Source organism: Homo sapiens, chromosome 7 (assembly GCF_000001405.40).
Source record: "Homo sapiens chromosome 7, GRCh38.p14 Primary Assembly".
Taxonomy (NCBI): Eukaryota; Metazoa; Chordata; class Mammalia; order Primates; family Hominidae; genus Homo; species Homo sapiens.
Window position 1 is genome coordinate 36,520,790 of NC_000007.14, and position 22,128 is coordinate 36,542,917.

Below are 22,128 nucleotides of genomic sequence, written 5' to 3' on the forward strand. Positions count from 1 at the left end.
CCTGATATTTAACCAGAATCTAGCCAATAATTTTCTTTGATCAACTCATCCAACTGATACACAGGAAGGTTAGAAATTCTGAGGGCATTATTCTGATTTTTTGTGTGTGGCTATTTAAATCCGTGAGGTGGGCATTTAATACTTACTTTAAAATTTGCTCAGCATTTGTGGGACGCCACTTTTACTCATTTGTTGGGGAGTGAGCATCCTTCTATTCTTGTTCCTTTTGAGGTGATTCTTAGCCCTGCCTGTGAGCACTGGCTGAGCCTAGAGTTGGAGGAAGGTGGGCTGTGTTTACCGTCATTCAGGCTCTTGAGGGGACAATCAGCCCTCCTGTGGCCTAGGTCTTGGTGGCCAGCAAGCGAGCATCCCCCAGGCATGCTCCTCAGGTTTGTACCCTTTGGTAGCCACACCATGCTTCCCCCACGGCTGGAGCAGAAAGGCTCTAGTGATGTGGTATTGCCTGAGAGTAAATGGCCCATCCCTCCCCATAGAGGAGCAGCTTTCAACATTTTACAAGTGGCAGAACAACTCCCCCACTTCTTTTTCTTCTTCTTCTTAATAAAGAAATGTCGTGAGCAAGTCCAGGACATACAACAGATAAAAGTGGAGCTTCTCTGGTTGAAGCCAGGATAATGGGATGGGAGTGGAGCCGGGAGGGGACAGAGTCCCACCCTCTGGCTCCCCTTGCTTTGTGAAGAGACCAGAGGAGAGCTACTTTACAGAACTGTACTTTGGATCCTTGATGAGAAACAGCTCTTACTGCAGGATACTGCTAAGGACATTGTTCTCCTCCTATACAGCACCCTTTCTAGAAAGACCATAGAATAAATTTCTCATGGGTCTCACTTCCAAAAAATCCTCGTCATTTTCCTCCTTTTCTTTCTTCCTTTTTTTTTTTTTGGAGTGCTTGATTTATTTTTCTTGTATTATGGAAGCCATGGCTTACTGCCCCTTTTAGCATCGCACAGAGCTGCCCTTCTGGCAGTTTCTCAGGAATGCCCTGCACATATTTTATGAATTATAGAAATTAAATCAGGAATCCAGGTATAATTTCTACTTTATTTCCCTATTGTCCCAAATTTCACTTTGTTTTTATTAAATCTTCTATCCTATACATGTATGTACACTACCTCAAATCCTTTCTGGAACAAAACAGGATAAAAATAAACACATGAATGTGTAACCATAATTAAAAACCAACAAACCATCAAATAGCCTTCTGCAGCCACCATGTGACTGTGCTTACCTCGTTGGGGTGGAATCCATCCACGGGCTCGATGAGCTGCCAGGGCTGTCCGCCTCTCTTCTGCCACTCCTGTATGACTGCAGGGCACATAACGAGAGGGTTACAGACACACTTGCACAAGCAACGGCCAATATCCAAGGACAAGGACGTGAGAACTGCCCATGCCCTCCCGGGCCCATGTTGACCAAGCCACGGCTGCCTCTGAGCTGCTCTCTTGCACTGGGGGATTTCTGAACAGAAATGATCTTCCCGCTGTGTGTGTGCTTTTTCTAACTCAGGAAGGGAATACGTGAGAGCATTGGATGAATGTGGTTTGTGTAGCAGGGAGGGCAGTAGGAAAAGGTGAGCTCTAAAATAGTCAACATCTATTTCAGTACATGTCATTTTTTGGTGGTGCAGTAGGATGGTATTACAGTAGGGAAAAATCCAACATTTTGTTAACATCCCCTTTCATGGGTTGCCATTTGCAGACTCTGCCTGCATGTGTCAAGCACTTGCCTTTAAAAATCATACAGTATGTCAGGAATATAATTACATAAAATTATCTCATCGCCACATTTGGAGGGAGTATGGCTGCAGAAAAAATATTACGAGCCCCAGAATGATGAAAAGCAATGAAACTGTCCTTCAACAGGGATGAGAGACCAAGAATGTCAGTTGCTCCAAGGCAACAGCACAATTAACTCTACGTCATTCCATCATACAGTCAGTAAGAACTCCTCAAGGAAACTTCAAATCCCTAGGAAGCCTCCGGAGAGCAGCATCTGAGCCAGCTGCTCCCGGCAAAGCTACGCCCTCACTTGCCCAGCGTCCAGTGAGGGGGGCAGGCACAACTAAGATTCCTCCCGTTCTTTACTCTTCATTCCCCAGAAAACTCAAGAACATAGGTCTGTGACCTGTTTCTCCCCTTCTCATCCCAAAGGAAGGACGGAAATTCTGTCAGGGGCTTTGATTGGACAAGACGGGCTGGACTTCCCAGGGCTGGGTCAATACAAGGCTGCTTTTACAATTAGTCCTAATATCCCAGCATGGCATCCCCACTTACTACTCAACCTCCATTCCCCAGGGGCTGAGGATAATGCTGCCCTTCTCAAAGCTCAGGAAAAAAATTCATACTGATGGTTTGGAGTCCTACACACTGAATCGCCAGCCCCTGTTAGCTTATTCTCTGGCAGAAAGACTGCCCCTGAGACACAGCATCATATTATGCTTCTGGGTTTTACTAGAGGCTGTTGGAAGAAATAGCTATTGGTAAGTGGCCTCTGCATTTCTTGAAAACTCAAATTGAGGACACTGTTCACTGTGTTATATGGTGTCCGCCACACAGAGTCTCCAGGGAGAAGTTGTGGCGTGCTGGTAAATAGCACTTCTATCTGAAGGAATGGTAGGTACCTGCTCTTCTAATAGGAAGCTCAGAGCTGCATCGATGCTTAAACAGCACTCACTCTCATGAAAGTTTATTTGTTCTGCCAAGCCAGCATGCAGCTTTCAACAATTTCTTTCTTGCCCTTGGCCATAGTGTCTTGTAAAGGCACAGTTTTGGGGAAGCTTGCCTGGCTCAGTCTTCAGTTTGCCTGGCCTGTTTTGCCTGTTTTTTTTTTTTTTTTTTTTGGCATGTCCTTGGAATGCAACCTTCTTCTTGAGGTTCAATTCTAGCTGCCTCACATTTCCCTCTGGACTTGACACTCTGAAGCTCCTGTGGGTTCCAGACTGCCCTGCTGGCTGCGATGCTGGCCCTGCCTGCTCATGAATGCTATCCAGCCCATCCCCTGCCATTCCCAATCTGAACATCCAACAAATTGCCATCAATGGAGAACCAGCCATCTGGAAAGATTTCTTCAAATGCAGAGAGCCAGGATCACCACCACTGAGCCCTCTCAGTTCTCTTTGTCCTTTTATGGTCTTTGTCCCATCTCTCCTTGCAGTCCCACAGGAGTCTCTCAAACAAAAATCAGCAACGATGCAGAAAGGCCCGGGCCAGGTGAAATGTCAGCCTCCCCATCCCCTCCGTGACTTCAGAGATGACATCATCTCCATTCTACTTGTGCTCCTTTTTGCTTCACCAAAGTTCTTGATTAACGTTTTGTCCCTTTTCCCACTTTTCCCTTTATTTTTATTTGGGTTTCACCTTATGTTGTACAGATGCTAACAGAAGAAAGAAAAGAAAGAATGAAAGACAATCGCAACAGGGTGTTGCACGGACTGAATGTTTGTGTCCCTTTCAAATTCCTGTGTTGAAACCCTAATCCGCAGTATGATGGCATAGGTAATTATTCCGTGAAGATGGAGCCCCCATCATGGAATTCATGCCCATGAATTCACACCCAGCCAGGTGCGGTGGCTCACACCTGTAATCCCAGCACTTTGGGAGGCCTAGGAGGGTTGATCACAAGGTCAGGCATTCGAGACCAGCCTGGCCAACATAGTGAAACCCCGTCTCTACTAAAAATACAAAAGAAAACCTAAAAAAAAAAAAAACAAAAAAAAATTAGCCAGGTGTGGTGGTGGGCACCTGTAATCCCAGCTACTCGAGAGGCTGAGGCAGGAGAATCGCCTGAACATGGGAGGCAGAGATTGTAGTGAGCCAAGATTGCGCCACTGCACTTCAGCCCGGGAGACAGTGTGAGACTCTGTCTCGACAATAAGTAAATTAAAAGATAAATAAATCAAATAAAATGCACCCCAGAGGGCTCGCTCACTCTTTTTTTTTTTTAAACCATGTGAGGATATGATGAGAAGTTGGCAGTCGGCAACACGGAAGGGGACCCTCACCAGAACCTGACCATGCTGGCATCCTGATTTTAAACTTTTAGCCTCCGGAACTGTGAGAAATAAATTTTTGTTGTTTATAAGCCACCCAGTTCATGGTATTTTATTACAGCATTCTGAGATAAGACAGTTATTAAAAAATTCCCAGGTATGCTAATAACAGCAGGCCAATGGGAATTGAGCCTCATCAAGACTTCAGACAGAGCCTACTAAAAAGTTGTGAAGAGTTGGATGAATAAGACATGAGGCAGAGTCCTCTTGTAATAAATAGATGCACAGCAAACCATGGACCTGACCTGGACTCTCCTGGGGTCATCTGATGCAGTGGTGGTAGGAAGCCTCTTAAATACTTTCTGACTCTCCATGTTTGCAAAGAGAGTTGAATGACATGTTGAATCAAAGCCCATGCCTGAGATGGCTAATAAAAAGTCTAGAAAAGGATTATGGTGATCAGGAGCTCTGGAAAATCCACAGTAGAAAGCAAATTTGAACCTGTTAGGGAAACACAGTTTAAACAATATCATGTTCCTTGAGAAGAATGTTTACTAGGAGCCTGATATTACAAAGGTGAGATTTGCTTATACATGAGTTTCTTAGACTGTGATTCAATTTTGGCATCTAGGCTTAAAGTAATTCTAGGCTATTTTCATTTTGATTTGCATTTTTTGTGTGTTACTAATTACCAAACTGAAAACTATGGCCCTTAGAGAAAGAAAGAGAGGTGTTGATAGATGTCTTCATGGAACAAGATAATTCAGATATCAGAGTTAGTGATGCAGGTTGAGCATCCCACATCCAAAAAGCCAAAATCCAAAATGCTCTAAAATTCAAAACTTTTTGAGTGCCAACATGATGCTGAAAGGAAATGCTTACTGGAAAATTTTGGATTTTGTGTGTAGGATGATCAACTGGTAAGTATACATAATGCATATATTCCAAAATCCAAAAACATCCCCCAAAATCCAAAATCTGAAACACTTCTGGTCCCAAGCATTCAGGATAAGGATATTCAACCTATACTGTGTTTTCAAAATGAGAAGAGATGACCATTCCCTTCTCCTTCCCTTGGAGACTTGAGCAATCCCATAATTGTGGGGATCATAAAAGGAAAACTCAGGAGAAAAAGCACAAAGAAAGAGGAGGGATATTTACTTGCCAAGCTTTGCGGGGGAATAGGAGCGTACCCTAGGGTTGGGGGCAGTGGGAGAGGTCCACCTTTTGTCATCACCATAGTCCAGCAATTCTAAATAATGTCGATGATAACACATTCCTGCCTGCTAGGAAATTATTCCTGTCTCTCAACCCCCATCCCTTCTCTACATTAGGCAGCAACTACAAGGGAGTCCAGCCTTTGGAAGAACTTGCTTGCCATATAAAATAATACAATAGGTGTTAAAAGAAAATGCTCCAAGTTTATTAAGACTACAACCTGTTTATTTACAGAGGTAAACATCATTTTTTTCCCCCATATGATTATTATGTCTGTGAGGGATATGGGTCATCACATACATGTAGCCATCAGGACAGTAAAACTTAAGGGAGCTTCAGTAACTCACAGGCAAGTGTTTATTTAGGATTTTATCTGTATCGTGACCAATGTCAAAGGGAAGATCCTTTTTTTGTTTATCTCAGGATGAAATTCTGCTTTCTTGGGAGAAATGCAATACCAGACACTGGTCTTTACTTTTTCCTTGATTGATTTTAGAGTGGGAGGTCCATTCAAAGATAACATGGTAAGTTGGTCAGCTTCCTTTCTACTTTGGACCATAACTTAAAATAGACCAATGAATTCCTATTTGTTCTTCAGAATATCTGGATTAAGTTTCTTGAATGATCATGGATGATCTGTGGAGATTTGGAGCATAATGTATTTTGTTTTGTTTTCTTCTTCTTTAATGTAGTTTATTTGTAAAGTCAAAGAAGCTGCTAATGACCAGCTTTTCAAAGATGTAATAGAAACAAGGGAGGAAGACTCATAAAACACTTGTTCATCAAACACTGTTTGATGAACAGCAACACTAGCAGATATTTTAAAGAAAAGGCTGCTTTCTGGCCAGCCCCATAAAGTCATTGGCTGATTTTACAAATGTATTCATGGTGCGGGGAACCAAGAGCCAGGTTTATGCCAATTGAGCTGTCTGGGAAGTTGAGGGCAGCTGGAGGTATATTTAAACTGTCAGTGTAAAAATGGCTTTGTCAGCCAAGTGGCATTTTCTTTCCTCTGTTGGGGAGGTGTGGTGCAGACAAAGAAAAAGAATATCACCTGCTCAAGTTGGCATTTCCTGAAGGGAGGAAAAGTTGCTGCCTCTGTTTAGTTCATAACCAGTTGGAGAATGAGTCAGCAAGAGACAGAAAGTCTTTGGAGATGAGTAATCATCTTTCAGTGCTGGACTGAGGCTGTCAGGGTGGAAAATGAATGGGTCTTGTGCCTACCCTCAAGTGACAGGGACCCTTAACTGCAATTTGCTCTGTCACAAGGATGTGAAATTGTGAATTTTAGTATCATGAAAAATGAGAATATTTTTGACACAATTGTCAGATCACATACAGTACCAAAATGAGAGGAGAGATTTTCATGGGACTATCAGGACTGCAGACTTAATAAGTGACTCTGTAGGATTTTAATTTCTGATAAAAGATTACTTTTCTTCTTGGTAATGGATGCATTTCTACCATACCTTCCTCGAAGGAACTCAAAGTACTTCACAGGCGTGAATGGAGCTGGGGGGTGGGTTGGACATCAGGAGTGAAGGAGTTGCTTCATACACACGGATGATGGTGGTGGCGGGGGACGGCCACTAACAGTTACTGAGTCTTTGCAACTTTACAAGTTTTGTTTTACTTAATCTTTACGTGGGTTAGTTATTTCTATCCTACATACAAGGAAACAAAGGCTGGGTGGTTATTTAATTCACTTGAGGTCACCCAGCTATTCTGTGTCTGAGCTGGAATAGGAAGACAGTTGTAAATTCTGGGCTCTTTCTATAACCACACATCGTACCCACATGGGGTGGGTTTCTGGGAAGATGAGCTGCCCAGGCACGGGTGGTTACCCACAGAGATGGATCTGGGAGGGGATTATCCCTCCCACTGCTTTGGAAAATGCTAAAATTTCAAGTTAAAAATGTCTTTTGCAGTACCTGACTCTGAGCTTAAGTCAGGACACTACCACGGTTCCTGAAAACCAGATAGAAATGCTAGCTCTTTCAGAGGTGGACATGGCGGCACCTAGACATCAAATGCAGGTGCTGTATCAGATGTTCATGGAGGCAGGTCCCACAGTGGTCTCACTGTGCCCACATGCCTTCCCTAGTGGGGTGCCCACTAACTTCCTGAGGAGAAGATGAAGAAGGCCCTGCACCAAAACTAGATCTTCACATTTATTTTAAACAAATAGCAGGAGATTACAAAACAGGAAGTTCCTTGAACTGTTGATGGGAATCGCCAAGCATGGAGAAATGCCTAGGAGCTTTCTCCCACGTTGATGTAGAATGTTCAGTTCAGCTTAATTCAACTTTTTGCTTTTTCACTGTGTTTATTATTGCTGTGAGGACAAGAAAGGGCTGATGAGGCCCTGCTTCCAAGCATATCAGTTCACCAGTGGAATTCTGGACAGACAAGAATAAAGCTCTTCTCTCTATATCCTCCACAGAGATAAGGACTCTTCTGCTTTGTTGACGATTATGTTCCCAGCACCTTCATAGCTCCTGGCACATAGCAGGACTTATAAATCTGATGACTGACCCAGCTCTTAATCTTGAGGCATTATAGAGCTCCATTTATTAAACTTTATTTTTATTTTTATAGAGATGAGGTCTCTCTCTGTCAACCAGGCTGGAGTTGAGTGACGTGATCACAACTCACTGCAGCCTCAACCACCCAGGCTCAAGTGATCCCCCCATCTCAACCTCCAGAGTAGCTGGGACTACAAGCATGCACCACCATGCCTGGCTAATAAAAAAAGATGTTTTGTTTTTAGAGATGGGGTCTTGCAATGTTGCCCAGGCTGGTCTTGACCTCCTGGACTTGAGCGATCCTCCCATCTCAGCTTCACAAACCATTTACAAAATTTTAATGGGCATAGAGATGACCTGTGGGTTGTGTTTGAATGCAGGTTCTGATTAGGTAGGTCTGGAGTAGGGCCTGGAATTCTGCATTTATAACCAGCTCCTGGGTGGTGTTGATTTTGCTTATCCAAAAGCATACATTGAGTAGCAAGGGTGTAAGGAAATGGTACCTTTTCTGTGTACCAGGCATAACATTTAGGAGGATGACACATTATTTCATAGAATCATCACAGAGATTTGTTAGGAAGATATGGTATCCCCATTTCCAGGGCTGGAAAGGGAGTTTAAAAATATTCAGAGAATTGCCTGCAGTCCCAGAGATAATAAATGACAGAGCTAGTGATCACTCTGGAAAGTAAAAAAAAAAAGTCCCATGTGAGTGTTAGACATTATTATATTTTTAATAACTTTATCTATATTCAAGGTTGATGATGATCAAAGATCACTTGGTGGTGCATTTGTTTACACCAGGAATTCATTAATGGGTCTTTAACTCTGCATTTTAATGAGAAGTTATTTATCAAAATGTCTCTCCCCACGAGAGAAATGTGTATCACCTAGGCAGGAAATCTAGTTAAGGGAGACCAGTCTTGTTGAAAGGATGTTCAGAATTGAACTACTAGAGTCTGCAATGCAAAACATGTCAGTGAATGTAATATTTGATAATTCATGATGGCCATCTGCTCCAACCCAGATGCTGCGGATGGGGGCACTGGGGGTGGGGGACAGAGATGATAAACTCTGGATGAGGAATCTTCCATCTTTCGCCTACACTGTGAAACCCTTCATTAGCATTATCTCATCTGGCAGTCAACAGGGGGCTTTGCTCTTGTATAAAAATTGCTTAGCAATGAAAATGAATCAGGAAAGATTACAGTCAATAAGCAATAATTTTTCAGACTCAAGATGTAAAGAGTAAATCAGTAGCTATAGTAATCATGCCTGTTTTTGTGTGGCCACTCAGCAGTGACTCCGGTGTTTGGACAGAATGCTAAAAAAGCAACTTAGTAATATTCCTTCCAGAAAGTTGGGACATGGGTTGATCACTTTGCCATGGGCAAGTTCTTTGGTCCCTCCCTTAGAGGTTCTGATTAAGTTCATCCTGTATGGGGTGTGGGAATCTGCACTGCTCCTGAGTCCCTGGGTATTTCAGGGCCCACTGTGAGAGGTGCCACCATATCCCTCATTTCTGTCACATCCATCAGGTAACCAGGGCTTTTAACCCGACAAGAACAGGTTAGTGAGTGCATTAACCTGTAGGTTGCCAGCTCAAAGCTCTTTCTAACCAGTCACTGGCTCTATTGCATCAGGGATTCTAAAATGATGGTGAAGTACAGAGGTAATGCTGAACCCAACTTTTTCAGAAAAAGTCCCACATTTTATCTTTTTTTCAATACTGAGAGCTATTAGTGTGTCAGAATAGGCAGGAGTAACCCTGCCGAATCTGCTGCCTGGTGGCTTATAAAAGTATAAAACCAGTTGCCCAGGCCCTAAACTAGCTGCTGCTTTCATCTTCTGTCAATACCCAAACAAAGCTACTTACTTTCATGGAAGGCAAAATCCATGTAGAAAAGATTGAAGTTTGTAAATTTCTCACTGGCTGCAATTTTTTTCAGTGTGTTGGAGAGTTGCTCTGCTCTCTGAAGAGAGAGGAAACAGGGAGAATTTCATGAAATCTAGACTTTGGCTTTAGTGAGACAATTCAGGCAGAACAAAGAAATCGATCTTCCCCATCCTACTCTACTTTCATTTCTCCAAGCCATCAGCAGACAGCAGCTCTGCACATTAAATTCTAGTCACGTACAAATGGCCAGTGAACATGAGACAAATGTTAATGTTCATTAGGAATCAAATCAGTGTAAATTAGTGATACTAGTTTTAACACCCTTGGGACTGGCAAAGGTAAGATAACCATGATATTGAATGTTGTCATGGGTAGGTGAATGAGAATGTCATTAGCTTAACCTTTCTAGAGAGCAATTTGGCAATATGGATCAAATCCTTAAACATGGACATACCCTTTGGCCCAGTAATTCTTCTAGGAATTTGTCTCAAGGAAATTGAGATGTACACAGAGACTTACACCTTTAGATATACGATGGCTCATCACAATGCTATTTATCATAGTGTAAATTTGGAAACAATCTAAATGTCCAACAACAAAAGATGAAATAAATCATAATATAGTCACGTATAAACTTTAGAATGGTTACAACATTATGGTGTGGAGAAACAATCTATGAACATTGGAAAGCATAAAAGAGTATGTGCATTCTCATACTATGTAGGCAAAAACCAAATATATTGATCTCTAGAAGTGGTAATGGGAAGACATACACATATACTAACTTTGGGTGGTGGAATTTTGCGTGATATTTGTTATTGTTCTTTATGCTTTTTTGTGTTCTCCAAGTTCTAAAAAATTGAAATATGCTTTTTATGTAAAAAATGTTCAATAAGTCTTTTGTCTGTTTGTTCATTTTTGTTTTTGAGACAGGGTCTTGCTCTGTTGCCCAGGCTGGAATGCAATGGCGCGATCTTGGCTCACGGCAACCTCCGCCTCCTGGGTTCAAGTGATTCTCATGCCTCAGCCTCCTGAGCAGCTGGGACTACAGGTGCCCACCATGACACCTGGCTAATTTTTGTATTTTTTAGTAGAGATGGGGTTTCATCATGTTGATCAGGCTGGTCTCAAACTCCTGACCTCAAGTGATCCTCCCACCTCAGCCTCCCAAAGTGCTGAGATTACAGGTGTGAGCCACCGCGCCCAGCCTCAATAAGTCTTTTACAAAGAGATTATTCGCCATCTGTGAAAGAAGTGTAAACCATGTTCTTTGAGCAATGGATTCCCTGAGAGAAGGGAGGAAGGTTCTTATTTACCTTGGGAGAACTTCTGTCATGCATAGGGGCCAACCTCAATCAGCTCTCTCCAACTCCACAACTATGCTTAGGACCAGCTTTAAGAGGTTGTGTGTGTGTGTGTGTGTGTATGTGTGCGTGTGCACAGGGGAGGGTGTGTACACACATGTGTACACACGAGAGAGACAGTGGCTGAGAAACACAGTCAGCAGAGGACAGACCCAGAGCAAGACAGAGGGAGACAGGGTGCACCAGGTTCTCTCGGCTCCTCAAGCACCTGGAAGGTTTGATTTTGTTATTCACCAGCTTGGAGACCATCTGCCTGCCAGGATCCCATCCCCAGTGAAAACTCTGCAGCAAACACAGGGAAAGAATGATCAAAGATGGTATCAAAAGGCCTGTGACAGTCATACCTCTGAAGTGAGAGTCCGCAACGTCTTGTTGGAAGACATCCAGCCGTGGCAGGGGCTGACCTGAGAGCGGGAAAACACTTTTGATTACAGAGGATCAGGGTAGGTAAGCGGGCCTTGAAGCAAGCCAGTGAGTGCTCACCTGGAGGCAGTTCAGGAAGGAGTACAACTGCGCATAGGTCATGTCTTTATTTAGCTGGCCTGGAAAACAGAGAGGTCTGGTAGATTGCATCCACTCGGCAATAGCAGCATTTAGAGGCACCTGGGGGCTTCCCTGCCTCCCTTGCAGAAAGTCACTATTTCCAGGGTGTTCCCCTGATTTTTCATGCAGCATTGCTCTTGAAGAATGCCTGTGCTTTCCTCCTTTCTGAGCCTCTAGAAATTCAGACCCAGAGTTGAGGAGGAGCCCTGAGGAACTCACTGCCATATAGAGCTGTGGGCATGGGCCTGGATGGGGCTGGGGGAAGTGGCCTCATCTGGACTCAGGAAAAAGAAATGCAAGTATCCTACAGCTCAATGTGAACCAGGATGCCTTGGATAAAGCCCTTTAAGAGCAGTACTTTCTCCTGGCCCTGGTATGAAATGCTCCCTGCATGGGGCACAGGGAACATTCGAGGTGGCGGTTGACCTAATCCCCTTTTCTAGGTTTATGAAACGCTCAGGTCTGACCGAATTATCCCACACTGAGGGCCTGGCAGGACATTCTGAGTATCTGAAGCTCTGACCACGTAGTTCCCTGCAGTTGGTGAACTGAAAGCCATACGAAATACTTGGTTGGCCCATGGGATGGGGAGGCAGTACCTCATGTCTCTGTGGCACTGGATTATGGGCTGTCCAGTGGATATCTTATTTGACCCTAATTAGTAGACACCCTTATTTTTTAGTGCAAGTTACAGAGGTACATAATAAAGTGAAAAGTACCAGATGAGCGTTCATCCAGTTTTTCTGAACATCAGCTATAGTCCCAGAATCTGTGGGGGTGATTTCTTCTCTCTTCCAACACCGCTCCACCCCGCTTCCAGCATATCCACCCCGCTGAAGCAATTTGACTTTCATGCTGTGGCTGACACACAAAATCCAGGTCTCCCCAAATCTCGGGGGTGAATGACTGACACTGTATCCATTAACACTCCTCACACTCTTGAAAACATAAAGGAAGATAATAGGACCTATCTCAGAATGAAGAGAAAGATTGAAGGTGATAGAACACAGTCTTATTTTTCACTTATACCTCTGATTAGTTAGACTGGAAGATAGATTCAATTTTCTTGTCAGAGAGAAAAAATTTATTATCTCTCTGTGTAGGTGAGTGAGTCCCAAGACAGGAAAGCCACAGGCTCATTATGGCCACTAAAGTCACAGTGACCCGCCAGGTCTGTCTTCTGTACAGGCTTCTGTATCTTCACATTTTAAATGACTCCCAAATCCTTGGCTTTCGTCCTTGCTTTTATTTTATGGGTCCAACACTGAGCTTCCATTTTCCCCCAAGTTCCTACTTCTACCCACTGAGGATTTGTTCCCTCTATTTTGTGTGCGTGTGTGTGTGTGTGTGTGTGTTTGTGTGTGTGTACTTTTTGTCATTTGCTCCCTTTCTGAATGTGTCTCAGCTGCAGTGACTGACATCTTCCTTCTCCACTCCCCACCCTGGGTCCTCCACGTGCTCTCCTGGCTTCGCTCTTTCCCTCTGGGGGCTACCACTGAGTTGCGGCCTTCCGTCTCCCCACCTTCTGTGAGGGCCCAGTGTCTGGCTGCTTTTGCCTTGGTGCCTGGTGCCATCTTGTCGCTATGTTGGAACTGGGGCCTCATAGTGAAACTTAGGTAGCCTGGCTGGGGCCCTGCCGCCCCTCTGGGCCCTGGTGTGTCCCCTCCCCCTGAGGGGCGGCATCTCTCTGCAGCCTGACAGGAGGTGGCACCTCATGCCTGACCTTGCACTCTCCCCTCCCCACCTTCAGGCCTGGATTTCTTTGATATCCAGAGGGGCCGGAGTTTGTCCTGCTCCTGTGACACTGGGAACTTCATTGTTGGCTCCTCCTTGGGGATGAAGGCCCACCCTGGCCTTGCTCCACGCTGCCTGATGCCCTCTCCTGCTGTCCTTCTGCTGATGGCCAGCACAGCTCCCAATGAGACCCTGAGGGGCACCTCCCTTCTGCACCTCCTCAGTCCCTCTCCCTTTCCCTCTGTCGCCTGGCTCCACCTCCAGCTGGACCTGATTGAGAATGGGAACATCCTTAGTGTGGGTGGCTAGGTCTGCTGAACAGGATGAGGGCACATTAGGTGCATTTAGAAGAACCTGGGAAAGTTGCAATGAATCAGTGTCCCTCCTGTCTGGTGTTTCTGCCTGTTAGAGGGTAGGGACTCTGGGGCTGGTCATGTGGAAGATTGGCTAGGGGTGCTTGCGATGGGCTTATGGTTTCGAGGAAGGGAAGAGGGAAATGGTTCTTACACTTTCTGCTTTATTGGCAATATCAGTTGGTCCCCCACTCTTTCTTTTTAAGCATTACCTTTTATCTTTGTTTCTTTAATGTAATTTTGGCCTATTGATCCTACTTCTATGGGGTGCATGAAGAGAGGTTGTGTCTGTGACTCCCTGGTTAGAAAGTCCATCTGGATAGGAAAGCTGATCAAGAAAGCCCAGGGGCAGGCCAGGAGGACTGTCCCACAGTGGCCAGGAATCACCAGGGGCTGAGGAGCTCTGTCTATGTGTATCTGTGTGTCTTCATGTGTGTCTGTGTGTCTGTGTCTCTGTGTGTCTTCGTGTGTGTCTGTGTCTCTGTCTGTCTGTGTTTTTGTGTGTTTCTGTGTCTGTGTGTGTATCTGTGTCTGTGTCTCTGTGTGTGTGTTTGTGTGTGTCTGCTTGTGTGTATCTGTGTGTGTCTGTGTCTGTGTGTGTGTCTGTGTGTGTGTATGTGTCTGTGTGTGTGTATCCGTGTGTGTCTGTGTCTCTGTGTGTGTGTTTGTGTGTGTCTGTGTCTGTGTGTGTATGTGTCTGCTTGTGTGTACCTGTGTCCGTGTCTGTGTGTGTGTGTTTGTGTGTGTCTGTGTGCCTGTGTGTGTTGTGGGGAGCCAGCGGGCTGTCCCAGTGTTTGCCATAAGCTCCTCTGAAGATCAAAGGTGTGTTCTTCCCTAGCTGGCTTAGTGACGGTTTGCGTCTTCATAATCTGTAACTTCTTTAGGGCAGGGTCTCTGGTATCTATTTAATTCTGGAAACATAATTGAAATCTTAGGTACCGTAGAAACTTAGTACCAACAAAGATCAGGCACATCTCCATGAAATGCCATGTAAATGTGTTAAAATCACATTCATTCAGACGGAGGGAAAGTGCGTGATAAAATAGAAACACCAAGGTATTTTAAAAAGACATTTGGTTTCAAGTTTAAGAGTAATTGGGGCAAGATGAAGTTGCTGTTTTGTGGCAGAAGCCCTTCAAGCCTGGCCCACTAGCAGACGAATTTGCAGCCAGGAGTCCCTGGCTTCCTCTCCATAGTCTAACCCTTGGGATGGCCCCTGAATGCCTGTGACTTGCCCATCCTCATGGGCACTCGGCACGTTCGCTGTCAGGGTCCATGTGCTGAGTTCGCTAGCGGAGTTTTTTCCCTCTCATTTGAGGACACAGATGCATCTTATGTCATCTTTTCTCAAAAGCACAGAGTAGGAATCTCAGAGATATTTCTGGAATGATCCCCTTCCTCACAGATCATGGCTGAGAGGACTTGTGACTGGCCAAGCTTGACTTTTCTCAAAGGACCCACATCAGTAGAATCCCAATGTATGAGGCTTGCTGTCTGGTAATTCCTCACAAAGACAATAAACTCTCACCAGGAATTTTAGCTACTAGTAGAGGCTGTGGGGTGCCCCAGCCCTTGGCAGCCAGCGACGGACTGGGTAGTGAGTCACAAACCTGGCTGAGGAGGGATGCGAGGAGAGATTCGTCACCCCCTTGTCCCTGGCAGGAGTGAGACACCCACCTGCTCTTGTTCTGGGCCTCTGAGTGTCCTGCTGCGTGGGTGCTGTGGCATCTAACCCTGCCTTCACTGGTTGCTCAGGCTGAGTTCCTGCCTGTCCTTCTGAGGGAAAAGGAGGCAGCAGAGACTGTGTCACTGACCAGGGGGTCTCCTACCATGCCTCTGTTTCCTGAACGCTTTCTTAATTTTTAAGAAGTGGCCAAAGTCAAGTCTAAACACTATGATCACCACATTTCTAGGCCCAAATAAATGGACCTCACCCTCTTCCCCCTACTTTTTTTTTCTTTGCACAGCACTGTTAGCACAACCCTTAACACGGTGCCCAGGAATCAGACTTGAGTGTCCAGCTGCTGACTAAGATGAGATCTACAGTGGCCTGGGCAGAGCAACCAAACCCTGAGGCCGGCCCAGCATGAACCCTGCTTCACTGCTGGCTCAAGATCCAAAGATGGGGTTTGGAGTGAGAGCAGAAGAGAGACAGCATGAGAGCAATAAATGAAATTACTGTGCTTAATGAAAGCATCTATCTCCCAGGGTTGTTTTAAGAATCACGCCTTCTCAGCTGGGAACGGTGGCTCATGCCTGTAATCCCAGCACTTTGGGAGGCCGAGGCAGGTGGATCACCTGAGATCAGGAGATCGAGACCAGCCTGGCCAACATGGTGAAACCCCATTTCTACTAAAAATACAAAAATTAGCCCAGTGTGTTAGCAGGCGCCTGTAATCCCAGCTACTCGGGGGAGCTGAGGCAGGAGCATTGCTTGAAGCTGGGAGGCAGAGGTTGCAGTGAGCTATGATCGCACCACTGCATTCCAGCCTGGGTGACATAGTGAGACTTCATCTCAAAAAAAAAAAAAAAAAAAAAAAAAAAGAATCACACCTTCCTAATGCAGCCCCCTCTTGAAGTCTGTCATCTTGTGTGAGTGATGAGTCCTGTCAAAGGAGGCCTGGGGATGCCGGATAAATCCCACCTACTTCTCCAGCCTTTCTAGGAAAGACCCTGATGCTTCGTTGAGAAATGTATAATTTATTTCCCATGGCAACCAGGCAGCAGAGATAATTTAGGATGTGAATAGTTACTTATAAGCATCAAACAAATTTTAGATGGTTTCAGCTTTCTCCTTGATTGGATTTTTTTTTTTTTTTCCAAAACTACTGATGTTTCTGTAGAACAAACTTGTTCTATCTTTTTCTTCCTTCCATTTTGTGCTGTACATGCTAGGGTGTGATTAGCAGCCAGAGAGAGTCCACTTGAGAAGGACAAGGCAAAGGCAAAATCTAGAGCAGTCTCTCAACCTTGCATGACTGACAGTCTTGATTTTGGGGTGCCGTCTCGTGCATTGTAGATGTTTAGCAAACCCCCTGGCCTCTACTCACTAGATGCTAGTTGCACCCCTCTTGTTTTTTTTTTTTTTTTGTTTGTTTGTTTTGAGACTGAGTTTCACTCTTGTTGCCCAGGGTGGAGGGCAATGGTGTGATCTCAGCTCATTACAACCTCCGCCTCCCGGGTTCAAGCGATTCTCTTGCCTCAGCCTCCCAAGTAGCTACGATTACAGGCACCTGCCACCACGCCCAGCTAATTTTTTTTTGTATTTTTAGCAGAGGCAGGGTTTCACCATGTTGGCCAGGCTGGCCTTGAACTCCTGACCTCAGGTGATCCGCCCACCTTGGCCTCCCAAAGTGCTGAGATTACAGGCGTGAGCCACTGCACCCAGCCTAGTTGCACCCCTCTTCTATCTCCAGATGTGATAAAAGCAGGGTGGGGGTGAGTGGGTTGCCCCCAGTTGAGAACCACTGGCCTAGAGAATCCACAGAAGTGGACAAATCCCCCAATCATCCTTTTTTCTTCCCTCAGTCCTTTCCAAATTGCGTGGAGTCATGCTTACATACCATTCGTACATTCTTTTTTTTTTTTTTTTTGGACAGAGTTTTTGTTTGTTTGTTTGTTTTTCACTCTTGTCACCCAGGCTGGAGTGCAATGGTGCGATCTCGGCTCACTGCAACCTCTGCCTCCTGGGTTCAAGCGATTCTCCTGCTTCAGTCTCCTGAGTAGTTGGGATCACAGGTGTGTGCCACCACACCCTGCTAATTTTTGTATTTTTAGAAGAGACGAGGTTTCACTATGTTGGCCAGGCTTGACTTGAACTCTCGCCACAGTTGATCCACCCACCTCGGCCTCCCAAATTGCTAAGATTACAGGCATGAGCCACCGTGCCTGGCCTCATTCTTACATTCTTACATACATTTTTCCTTCCCCTAGTCCTTTCCAAATTGCATGGAGTCATTCTTACCTTTGGTCTCATATTTATGAAACCAAACATGTCTCATAAATCAAGTGAATTGCATGGCATATCGGAAAGAATTTATGGAGGTGGCGTAACCAGAGTTCATGGAAAGAAAATGGGATTAGAAATCAGAAAAATGGAAGTCAAGTCGCTATTACTGTGATGGAGTAAATTGGGAACAAACTTCCCTGCCCTCAGCTTCTCTTTCCAAAGCATTTCTTAGTGTAGGAGACACATTTGGAAATCTGAAAGAATCAGTTGAGGGCAGATGTACAATTTTCATATCCCGTGGTTCAAAGAGACATTCTTAGCCCAGGTTGGTGTCCTTTCTGCATGCAAAGCAGCCCAGAATGGAGTGAAGTTCCATGTGTGATCATGTTATTTCTAAGGCGGCGTGGTCAAAGTTGCATGAACAGGAAGAATATGCTCTACTTAGGTGAGGCTGTACAGTGTTTTGCTTGGATGATAATATTTGTGATACATGAGTAACTCAAGAGGAAAATGGTTTCATCCTTATTGGTGGAGAATAGGGAATGTGGGTGTCCACCATTGTCCCTCCAACTAAGAGACCAGAGCCTTTGAGAGCTAGCTAAAGGACCCTTACTCTTTTCCCAGGTGGGGAGAGGCGGAATTTCCTGAGGGAGAAGTGGGGTGTTTGTCTTAGACAGGGACTGCAGGAAGAGGACAAGAGAAGACTGGAAAGATTCACACAAAGTAGTATATGCAAGAAAAGGCTCTTGATGGCCTGAAATGGGAAATCTTGCTCCCCACCCACTCCCTCTAAGGAGGGCGTGAAAGAATGAGTTTCAGGTCTTCTTTGAATTTCTCGCCTGACTCCTAAGAAGGTGCTTGGACTGCCAGCACCTTTTAGTGGGTTGGGCTCAGGAGGTGAGTGGGGTAACACCAGGGAAGGGATAGTCCCTTCTTCATGATAGATTGGTGCAGGTGCTGTCAATATGGGGCTGAGAGGAAGGTACCCAGGCCTCTTCTTATAGATGCTCATCAGGGAAGACTGAGGCCAGCTCCCTGTTCCTCTTCCTTGCTCAGTTTTCTTCCTGTGGCACTTATCACCTTCTGATATACTTTTGGGTCATTTTCCCATTGTAATATAAGCTTTCTGTGGGCAGGAACTTAGGACTATTGTGTTTTCTGCTGGTTACCCTGTGCCTAGAATAGTGCCTGGCACATAGTTGGCACTTAATAAATACATTCTCCTCTGAAATACAGAAAGCAGAGCCCTGCTACAACATATTCAGTGAGCTCTGTGGCATTTGGCAAGCTATCTAACCTCTCTGAGCCTTGGTTTTTTTCATCTATAAAATGAAATTATTGTGGTTGATAAAAACATCTATCTCACAGGGTTAAGGATCACACCTTCCTAATGCAAATTACTAGCACTTTTATGTTATTTGTACAGTATCGAGAATATTTGAGTTGCCATTAGAAGGTTCCAGGGACATTTTAAAGCCTTTCGGAGCTAAGGACCCCAAGAGAGTGTAGAAGCAGGAAATGAGCAGGCTGGAGGACTGTGCTCTAGAGAATTCTAACAGGCCACCAGGAAGCACTTACCATTGAGGTTCAGAGAAATCCCTGTCTTTGACTCACGGGTCTGTCTCCTGTTTGGGCTTCCTCAGCTCATTTTACATTTCACCTTCTGTTAGAGGAATTTCCTGGTTTGAGCACTTACCTTTCAATGTGTCCCAATTCTTCATGAATTACTTCTGCCCTTTCTGCCTTTGGATCTGATTCGGCTCACCTCTGGATAATGACCTTTAGATACTGCACCTAGGGGCTCTTGCCTTTATCAACCCTGACCCATGTTCCATGATGGCATTTTAGGCACATTTCTATATGGTTTGAACCATATATACATTGAACTGTATATACATTGATGTTATTAAAGAGTAAAAGAATCTTCAAACTGATACCGAGAGGATGATATCTGTTGTGCAAATTATCCCAGAGAAAGGTTCCATCTGGTAAGCCATACAAAATAACATGGCTGCCATTGGGCAGGTGGGAATTTAGATGCTTCAGAGTCTGCATGACGTTGGAGTAGAGTTTCTCAGGAGTGGTCATGGCTGGGACTGGGTCACTCTTCCTGTTGGTGGAATAAACAGAAAATATCTTGGTTGATTGTAAGGATAGATGCATGCAAGTTGCACGCAAATACAAGATACATCACACACACATACGCACACACACACACACAGTGTGGTGGTCATTGGAGCTATTTGCAAAATATTCCTGGATTTCCACCTTTCTGACACATAGGCTGTACTTACTGACTCCCTTGCGGTTGAGTGGACTATGTGACTAGTTCTAACCAATGAGTGGTGAGCTGAAGTGACATGTGTCATATTTGGTGATGTGACACCTTCTAGAATGCTCCTTTTCTTTGCATGGGTATAGGCAATGTTCTAGATAGCTGCTTCACCAATCTGAGTCCTGGAACAGAGTCCCATGGTGATCTCTGATGGACAAGTAGTGTGAGAGAGACGTAAACATTTGTTGCTTTATGCTACTAAGATTTTAGGGGCTGTTTGTTCCTTTGTTCCTGTAGCATAAACTCGCTGGCCTGACTTACACACAGTTTTTGAAATGAAAGGGGTCTGGTATTACTTATGATTTATTTGACACTTCGAGGTCTATAACTTGGTCTTTAAAACTTTTCACATGTATAACAGTTAGAAAACAGAATCTTACTGATTAAGTTATATTATACGTCCACACTGTATCTTGCTCTTTATCCTTCCATTTCTACACTGGATTTGGACTTGCATGCATTTCCTGATGGATTTCTATTCCAGGCTATACCCTGCAACAGCATTTCACAACAATTCCAGCCCGCATTATTGTCTTTATATAGTAGTGCTTGTGCTCTATAGAGGGTATTTGAATTTTTAAATTATATTTTCTCTTCTTATTTCATAAAAGTTAGTAAAATAAAAAAAGAAAGTACTGAAAGTAGTTATGAGAGACACAGGCCTAAAATCAAAGCATGTCAGACAAAGGTGAAGCTCCTAAGTGAGCTGAAAGTGACGAATCTTTACCCTCAATCAGACATTTATTGAATTTAAGCTGATTGACTTATATTCATTTGGTTTGGAAAAGAAGTAAGGAATGTACAAAATACTACAAGACATCATTTGAAGTTATGTTAAAATTGCACTCATTGGTTGATTTAAAGTTATGTTTGGGTGCTATGCTCACCACCTGGGTGATGAGGTAATTTGTACTCCAAACCTCAGCGTCGTACAATAATATATCCATGCAATGAACTGGCACATGTACCCCCATATCTAAAATACAAGTTGAAATTATTTTAAAAAGCTATGTTTAAAAGGCAAGGGGTGCTAAAGTATTTTTGGCATTAATATAAGTTTATTATTGTTCATTTCTTTGTACAATTGACTTTTGCACACACCTTCAGGAACACAACAAATTTGGATTCGGATCCTAACCTGCATTAACTTGGGAGTAGAATACAGAATTTTCTAGAGTTTTCATCTACTCTTTACACTCTAACTGCCTGTCTTTACCCTAAATGGAATAATGCTACAGTGTTACTTTCTCTTTTGTGTACTTAAAATTCCAGTTTCCCTAATGATAGTGGGTTAAATAGTGTCCCTAAAAATGTGACATTACTTGAAAATAGGGTCTTCATGGTTGTCATTAGTTAAGATGAGGTCATGTTGGATTAGTGTGGGCCTTAAATTCAATGACTGAATCCTTATAAGAAGAGGAGAGGACACACAGACATACACCAGGAGGAAGGCCATGTGAAGACAGAAGCAGACACTGGGGTTATGGCTGCCACAAGCCAAAGAGTGCTGAGGATCGCTGGAAGCCACCAGAAGTGGGAAGACAAAAGGAAGGATTTTTCCCTGGAGCTTTCAGAGGGAGCATGGCCCCACGGACACCTTGATCTTGGACTTTAAGCATCCAGAACTGAGATGGAATACATGTCTGCGTTTTGAGTCATCCAGTTTTGGTACTTTGTTATGGCAGCTCCAGGGAACTTAATACAGATTGTGAACCAGATAAAATAAGTCCATCACTCAGAGGCTGGACCCAGGGCATAAGTGATATGGGAAGAGGGGGCAGAAAGGGGCCCCCAGGGATCCATAATTCTCATTTTTAAGGGAGCTCATAAATGAATATTGGCACTGCCTTTTCGGAGGGCAATTTTTCAAAATGTATCCAAATTTGAAGCTGGCTTAACTTTTGACCTTGGAATTTCACTTTCAAGAAGTTATCCTATAGTAACATTTCCACCAATGTGCAAAAATGTACATACGAATATTGTAATGTTGCTTGGTATAGTGTACCACTGGAAAAAGATAAAAGCCTAAATACATAAATTATGGTACACCCATGCAATAGAACTCTATATAGCCATTAGGAATATAATAACTAGATATCGTTGGTTGCACAACATTGTGAACTGGAAATGCCACTGAATTTTTGCTTTAGAATGGTTAGTCTTACATTATGTGAATTTCACCTGAATAAAAAAAAAGAAGT

The 22,128-nt window shown here is 44.1% G+C and overlaps 1 protein-coding gene across 16 annotated transcripts in view, besides 3 other annotated features; it reads right to left on the bottom strand.

Annotated features, from left to right (window-relative positions):
• Window positions 1-22,128, bottom strand: part of AOAH (acyloxyacyl hydrolase) — a 211,554-nt gene that overhangs the window by 7,849 nt on the left and 181,577 nt on the right. For 12 of the 16 annotated variants that reach the window (NM_001177507.2, XM_011515334.3, XM_017012102.3 and 9 more), the window contains 5 exons: window positions 19,530-19,702; window positions 11,497-11,555; window positions 11,358-11,417; window positions 9,629-9,725; window positions 1,250-1,326 (listed from right to left, as the gene is read on the bottom strand). In NM_001177507.2, coding sequence (NP_001170978.1) covers window positions 1,250-1,326; window positions 9,629-9,725; window positions 11,358-11,417; window positions 11,497-11,555; window positions 19,530-19,702 — 466 coding nt within the window. Of the gene's footprint in view, window positions 1-146; window positions 268-1,249; window positions 1,327-7,385; window positions 8,434-9,628; window positions 9,726-11,357; window positions 11,418-11,496; window positions 11,556-16,972; window positions 19,256-19,529; window positions 19,703-22,128 lie in introns of those variants that run through there. The other 4 variants (XM_011515336.3, XM_011515339.3, XM_011515340.3 and 1 more) reach the window with 4 other exon arrangements.
• Window positions 6,214-6,508: an enhancer, noted in NCBI's record as "tiled region #12778; HepG2 Activating non-DNase unmatched - State 22:ReprW, and K562 Activating DNase matched - State 8:EnhW". NCBI's record gives its function as "activates a minimal TATA promoter and a strong SV40 promoter by Sharpr-MPRA in HepG2 and K562 cells {active_cell/tissue: HepG2 | K562}" and the evidence as "EXISTENCE:reporter gene assay evidence [ECO:0000049][PMID:27701403]".
• Window positions 6,285-6,429: an enhancer, noted in NCBI's record as "145 bp enhancer 148 fragment used in the MPRA reporter construct; PK_construct_3562". NCBI's record gives its function as "activates an SV40 promoter by MPRA in HepG2 and K562 cells {active_cell/tissue: HepG2 | K562}" and the evidence as "EXISTENCE:reporter gene assay evidence [ECO:0000049][PMID:23512712]".
• Window positions 6,352-6,362: a transcriptional cis regulatory region, noted in NCBI's record as "NFE2L2 motif; MPRA enhancer 148 activity is reduced when this motif is scrambled". NCBI's record gives its function as "necessary for full MPRA enhancer 148 activity {active_cell/tissue: HepG2 | K562}" and the evidence as "EXISTENCE:site-directed mutagenesis evidence [ECO:0005528][PMID:23512712]".